This window comes from Homo sapiens, chromosome 16 (assembly GCF_000001405.40).
Source record: "Homo sapiens chromosome 16, GRCh38.p14 Primary Assembly".
NCBI classification, from domain to species: domain Eukaryota; kingdom Metazoa; phylum Chordata; class Mammalia; order Primates; family Hominidae; genus Homo; species Homo sapiens.
The window spans coordinates 8370106-8377775 of NC_000016.10; the positions used below are offsets into that span (position 1 = coordinate 8370106).

General features: G+C 40.4%; 1 annotated feature.

The window, feature by feature from the left end:
* Positions 238-873: an enhancer, noted in NCBI's record as "OCT4-NANOG-H3K27ac hESC enhancer chr16:8420345-8420980 (GRCh37/hg19 assembly coordinates)". NCBI's record gives its function as "activates a minimal SCP1, AML or CMV promoter by ChIP-STARR-seq in primed H9 embryonic stem cells {active_cell/tissue: H9 hESC(primed)}" and the evidence as "EXISTENCE:reporter gene assay evidence [ECO:0000049][PMID:30033119]".

Genomic DNA, 7670 nt, shown 5'->3' on the forward strand with positions numbered 1-7670 from the left:
GTCTGGGAAGTCCAAGATCAAGGCCCCAGCAGATTCAGTGTATGGTGAGGGCCTATGTTTTGATTCATAGATGGCCAACTTTTCACTGTGCCCTCACATGGTGGAAAGGGCATGGGAGTTCTCTGAGGTCTCTTTCATAAGGACACTAACAGCACCCATGAGAGCTCGACCCTCATGACCTACCTACTGCCCAAAGATCCGACCTCCAAATGCTATCATATTGTGGGTTAGGTTTCAACAAACAGATTTTGTAGAGGAAGTAAATATTCAGTCTATTCACAGATCACTGAACTTGTGAATAGACTTTGTGTGCAAAGGCACAATCTCAGTGATTTTACACTAATACTAAGGGAGGGGCTAAGAATGTCCCTACTTTATAAATGAGGAAATTGAAACTTGGAGACTTAAGAAAACTCTCCAAGGTCACACTGTGAATAACAATGAAGCCAGAATTTGAGCCCAAGATGGGAAACAGCATGGGGCTACTTTCAGATCATGGCCTCTTTATAATGGATATGGCTCACTGTTTTATACCCCTTTGATAGTTGCTACCTAATAATGTTCAATGCAGAAAAAGCAGGTGGATAAAAGTAACCAAAACTTCACAGATGGTCACTTAGACTTAACTCAGCCTTCCACGTCACACATTTTAGCCCACATGCAAGAGCCATGAGTCACCTGGTAGTGAGTCACCCGTTCATCCCTACACCAGTAGATTTACCCAATGCTGTCTGTGCCAAGCTAAGAGCAAGCCCAGAGAGCTCTAGAAAAAAAAAAATGCCCAATAAATGTGGGAGGAAATGGGGCAGTATACAACCTTCCTGAAATACCTGACAGATGCCTGACCTTCCAATGGCCTTGGCTATGCATGTGCTTCAGAGCTTCGCCAGTTCCATTTTCTAAGTAAATGCTAAGGCCAAGTTTGAGCCCCTGGCTTATTTATTAGGCAAAGTGAGGCATTTAAGTTTCCAGTCAGTGAACAAAGAGACTGCAGTGAGGAGCAGTTTCTGATTAGATGTGCTCAAAGGAAGCCTTGTAAAACGGGAGCTTGGCACTATAATTGAACAAGTGGCACCAAGCAAAGCCAAGACATTAGCAGTGAAGGAGAAAGGGCATTAGCACAGCCAACATTATCTTTACAGAAAAAGGCCCCTGAGATCCCACCTGCATTTGTTTAATTTTATTTATTTATTTTCAGAGGCCCATCTCAACTCCACAAAGATCTGAGACACCTACAGAAGTAAAACAACATGAACATAGGTAATGTTTAAAATTAGAAAAAAGGTAATATAAAAAGTAGAAATACAGCCAAGGATAAAGTAATACACAAAATGCATAACACAAGTTCTGTGCACTTGCTAGAAGTAGGGCCAACATTTGACTTTGAGCTTCCTGGCAGCCAAAGCAAAGAGGGAAACTGTTTCCAGAAAATTATAAATTAGCCAGCTGCTTGAGTGAGGTTCCAGTCTCCTGGTACTAAAGCCTGAGAGCAGTTTATCCTGATGGGAACACCATTTTATGACCTTAATCATATCCACAATAAATCCATTAGCTGGCTTTAATTTGAATATTAACTAATTTACTTTTATTATTTCATAATAAAGCTTATTAGCTTATTAACAAGAAATTTAGTACAACTAGTTAGAAGTAGCCAAAACAAGGCAAGCCATGTACAAAGCTCCATGGTCTGCCTTTATTTAGGACTTAGACTTTCAAATATAAACAGCATGCTTCTACAACTGGGTCATGTGGAGCAGCAGTTATCTTAAGAAGATCCACGACCAAAAAGCTCCCTGGTTAAAACTGGTTTGGCAATCGGTTTGGGGATATTCATGCTAAAGACTCTGAGTAGTTCTCTAGTCAGGAACTCTGCTCCTTTGCACAGATATTTGAGCAATGGACCCTTTTATTCACATCCCAATCCACAAGTTCTCAGGATGACCAGCTTGTGGATTGGGCTGTGAATAAAAGGTAAATAAGAAAGTGTCTATTAAGTGTCTGGTGTCTATCATCAGTGCTCCTCAATAAGTGGTTATTATACATATCATTATTTCCTTTAATCCTTGATAATGCCTGTGAGATGAGTAGTATGCCACCACTTCCACAGTTGAAGAAACTACAAAGCAGTGAAACTGAAAAGGACATTGCTCAGGCACACAGCCAGGATGCAACAGGGATTCGGCTCTCCACTTCCTGTGGTGCTGGAAGAGCTGCGAATCACACTCCCTAGGTGTGAGACCCGGACCAATCCCTGATCCCACCCACAGCTGTTGTGATTGGCTCAGGGTTGGCACATGATCCCAGGCAAGGCCAATCATTCTCCCCTGAGATGAATGTTGAGATAAGGGCATTTTCTACTCCATGGCTACTGGTAGCCATCTTGCCTACCATGGAGTGATTTCCTCTTTGAAGAAAATGGCAGGCTGTTATTTACAATAGCAAAGATATGGAACCAACCCAAATGCCCATCAGTGACAGACTGGATAAAGAAAATGTGGCACATATACCCCACGGAATACTATGCAACCATGAAAAGAATGAGATCATGTTCTTTGCAGAGACATGGATGAGGCTGGAAGCCATCATCCTCAGCAAACTAACACATGAACAGAAAATCAAACACCGTATGTTCCCACTCATAAGTGGGAATTGAACAATGAGGTCACATGGACACAGGGAGGGGAACAACACACACGAGTGCCCGTTGGGGGTGGGGAACAAGGGGAGGGAGAGCATTAGGACAAATACCTAACGCATGTGAGGCTTAAAACCTAGATGACGGGTTGATAGGTGCAGCAAACCACCATGGCACACGTATACCTATGTAACAAACCTGAACATTCTGCCCATGTATCCCGGTACTTAAAGTAAAATAAAAATTAAAAAAAAAAAAAAAAAAAAAAAAGAGGCTGAAGCAAGCAGAGGTGGGAGATGGAGAGCCAGAGAGACAAAGTCCTACCAACACAAAATCAGTCTGCAATTAGACCCGCCCTCAAACTTCTCACCTACACAAATCTCTAAATTTCCTTTTGACCAGTTTGATTTGTGTTTCTGTCACTTACAACTAAAACCATCTTGAACAAATACAGAATCCATGAGTGTTTGTTTTCTTATGAAAGAGTATGTGTGCATCTGTAATAAATATATTTACACCTGAGCCACACATGATGAGAGTGGCAATGAAGTTTATTTTGTCCAAATATCAGAACCTGTAATGGAGCTAGATTCAGAACTAGACAGAATAATAATAAGGATGAAAAAAGACATTTAAAGCAGATCTCAAAATCCCCAAAGAACTCGATTTTGTTGGGAAATGCTGACACAAGTCAAACCACAAAAGCTCAAATGTCCCCAGTATAACTAGTTTACCTTTCAATTTTATCCGAATTCAACTCCTGAGGACTTGGGCTGAGCATTTTGAGAGGAACAAAGTCATAGGCGTGGGTACCACATCAGAAGTCCCTGCAGAGGTCCTATTGACTTTGCTAAGTTTATTCTGCATAACCTCAGAGCAGCCTAAAAGATTGCTAACAGCAGCATGGAATTCCCTTATGGGCCCCAAACTCTGGATTGCACTCTGAGGGAGTCCATGTCAGCAGGCTCTGAAACATCCCAGGTGCAGGGTGTTTAATGAATGCAGAGCACAGAGCTAGTGGGGCGTTTGTTAATAGAGCAAAAGAGGAGATTCATGTACAAAGCAAGCCTGAGTACAGTTTATACTGCCGCTGTTTAATTACTTCAAGCTTCAGGCTCCTGAGTCCTTTGCTGGTGGAAAAGCACCAAAGTTTCCTGTGCACACACACACACACACCCCCCACACAAAGAATGAAAAGAAAGAGAAAAAAATCCATGCCAGGCATTCACAGTGCAGATCCTGATTGATTCGCTAGCATTCTCCAAACCCATTGATGCCAGCAACCCAGTCTCTGCAAGCTCTCAGCTTCTGTTTTAGGAAAAAGGAAAAAAAAAAAAGAAGATAAAAAAAGGAATGCTGGCTCTCTTCTACCTTTGAAATTGTTATGAAATAAAATTATAGGAAGATAAGAAAATACTCTAGCCTTATATGACAGAGTAGGGAGAATGAAAGGAGAGGGGACAGTCTACCACCACATGGCCAATGCAAGTGGTGCCCCCTAGAGTTGTGCAGTGCATGGCATTCCTAACGATGTGTGAGTGTCTGCCTCTGGAGAGAAGAGTCAAGGTTTAATGCCTAGCCATTTCCCTATTGCTCCCAATGTTATTCCTAATGCCGCCATCTTCATATATATTTATAAAAATCCCTGTTTTATTGCCCCAGTTTCTTTCTCTGCAAAATGGGGCGTTGGACCAGATACTGTCTAAGTAACTGTGAAACTTTATCAATTCTATCTTTGAGATGGAAAAGATCTAGAAAAGCTGCCTGATCCTGTTCCATATGTTTCAAACTCCTACGATGAACATAGTTTATTAGTTAAGGATATAGATTTTGAAGTCAAACAGAACTGAGATAGACTCATCTCTTCTAATTCATAGTTGTATGCAATTAGACAAATTATCCTCCCAAATCCGTATTTTTCTAGTCTGTAAAATGAGGTGATAACAGAATATCAGATCTATTGGTTGTTGTGAGCATTCAGTAAAATAGAGCACACAAGGCTCTGAGTCATGCCTGACCCATGCATGGGAAGCATCTAAAAAATGTACCTCTTGTTACTATTCATATAGTGATGATGCTCTTTTTTCACACGCGGTGAGATGAGTCCCACAGCTGGTAAGGAAGCAGAAGGTAGAGAACGTCTCTCGTTTTAGCATTTCTTATACTTATTGTTGACACCATGCAACAGCAGGAAGTAGAAAAGAAAAAACTTTATCCTGCATGGAAAAAGTGAAATGGTAACACATCATCTCCACCCCATCCCCAAAGATCCACAACATTAGCCTTGGAATCTAAAAGAATAAATAACTGCAGATGTAGTTGAATTTTCAGGGCTCTGAGAAGGCCCCGGGTTGCCAAAAACCTTCCCCATTTAATGGAAAGATCCGAAATATCACCATTAAGTGTTTTATCATTTGGATGAAGATTCTGATCTTTGTTAAAAGCCGAATATCCCTGGGCAAAGAATTGAGTTACTAGGATTGAAAAATGACCTGAGAAAAGTTTTTGATTGAGAGAAGGGAACTGTGAAATGCTAGAGAGGAGACAGAATGCAGCTCCGAGAGGTGGGAGTAGGGAATGGGAGCTTCAGCTTTGTCCAACTCCCCTTTTGCCAAAGGAATAATATGGGTCTGTAGAGGATACATAAGTAGTCACATTTTTTGGCCCTGAGCCAAAAGTAACATATAAAGAGTTTAAAGTAAACATATAAAGAGCTTAGAGAAATCTAATATTGTCCCCCAACCAAAGTAAGCCAAGCCCCAAAGAGGAGAAAATAATTGTTCAAGGTCCTATAGCAAGTTGGATAGAAGAGCTTTTTCCTCCAGTTGCCCAGCCCTGAATTCTTTGCATTAAATTATTCCACCCCGTCAACTAAAGGAGAAGTAAAGGGGTAATCTGGATTTATTCAAGTGTTATGGTGCTGGCAGAGAGTTAGGACTTCAGAACTATTCCCAAGAACCTGCACCCCTCCCTCACAAAACAGAAACAACTCCAATAACACAGGCCATGCTTTCATTGATGGTTCCTCAGATGTGGAGGTAGAGGTTTCAGATCCAAGCCGTGATCTCTGTGTGACCTTGGCCATGCTGAGAAACCTCAGTTCCTCCACCTGAGAAACAGAAATAATGGTCTCCCTGTTTCATAGAGTTGCTGGAAGATTAACGAAATTAAACATAAAAAATATTCTCTATGTGCTGGGTCAATATTTCCATTTTTTGTTTTTCCAAAATTCCTCTATATGCCTCTGAGTCCTGACCTTATATTTATAGTAATCCCACTTCCAACCCCCTCCCATTTCCCCTTTTTAAATTTTCCCAGATATCCAGTGCTCCAAAGTTCTGATTAAACGAGAAGACCCACACCTAAGTGTATTCGACAAATGAATCTATTTATTTTCATTTCTATTCCATACGACGCATACCAGTCTGCAACTATCTTTACAATCATATCCTGTGAAGAATACCTGAAGGTGCCTTTCTGATTGACTTCTTCAATCTATATGCAGATTTGTGCTAAGCCAGTAAATAATTTGTAACAATTTGCATTGAGTTTATGGTTTCTCTAATCCAACCCTGATCATTTGTAAATTGTTTCTGTTCATGTGCAGATCAACTGTAATAAGATTGCTAATAAAAGAGTGGTTAATAAAATTTATAATGGGAAGACAAAGCATAATTTAGAGGTGGGGATTTTTGACATAAGGGCTTTTCCAGGCCATAGGCAAAAATAGATTCATAAAATTCTATTTGTTTTTATTTTACTTTCTGAAGAATACCTCGTGGTGAAATGTGGTCTTAAATCCTATTTCTTCCTCCTAGCCTTCACTGCTGGTCTTGAGCAACAGTGTTTTCTCATGTCTTGAGAAACTTTCCCAGTAATGACTCAGTCTCTCTGCAACCCAGTATTGGTGGTTAGGAAGGATATAAATGGTTTGTATGCATTTGTCTATCCATTTATTCAAGAAACATTTTTTGAGTGCCCATTGTGCTCCAGATAACGTGACAGGTCATAGAAATACCAACATGCATGAAACAAGGCTAATTCCATCAATGAACTGACCAACTGCAACAATCAAGATTTTATATGTGTTACTGATCATTAAATCCTCAATGCCTGGAAAAGCACTAATTCATAGTATGTGATTAATGAATATTTTTGAAATAAATGAATGTACTGAAAGAGTTAGGCAAGTAAATTATGCTAAAGCCATCAAACCTCATCCCACCCATCCATTACTGTAGCCCTTCATGACCAGTGTCATGAAGTAAATGAAGGCAAAGTCCATTTGGCTGAAAGAAGCATAAAAGATTTTATTGGTCATATGACATGTATCAGATCACAGGAATCAGGTAAAGCCCTAGACCAAATCTGACTCCACAGGAGATGTTTTCATAAAATTTTATGAACTCTCCTAGTAAGTACCTGAGAAGTTGGAAGACTCTGGACTCTACTGTTTTATGAGTTATAGCATCCCTGCAAGTTTGGTGCTATTATTCTTATTTTGCAAATGAGAAAACCATGATTCGCTGAAATTAAGCAACTATCTGAGGTCCCAACCAGAAAGTGGCATACCTCTCTCAATTCAGAACCCACGTTTGTGAATAGCCATTCTCCTTTAGGTTTATAAAGAGAGATGCATCGATAGAGCAGGGAGAATGTCTAGGGGATTACACTAGCAAAGATTCTTTCATGAGAAAGGAAGCATTGTGAGGAAGGAAGATGTGTTCCCCTTCCCCACAAAAGTGTCTTCTGCTGTGCTTTGAACATGTTTCTTCTTATTTAGTTATCTGTTGCTTGGTCCAAAACGTAGTACTCCCCCCACACCAGGGAAGATAGCCACTCCCACCCCTGTACTTGTCATTCTAATCTTCCACTCTTCATACAAAACCAGTTCAGTTCTTCCTTTTAAATTATCGTCCATCAATTCCCCAAAAGGAAGGGTGGAATTCCCTATGGAGGAGAAGTCAAAGGATATATGCTTGAGACAGAAAGTCCATAACCAGCATGGGCCTAACATGTCAAATATTTCGTGGGA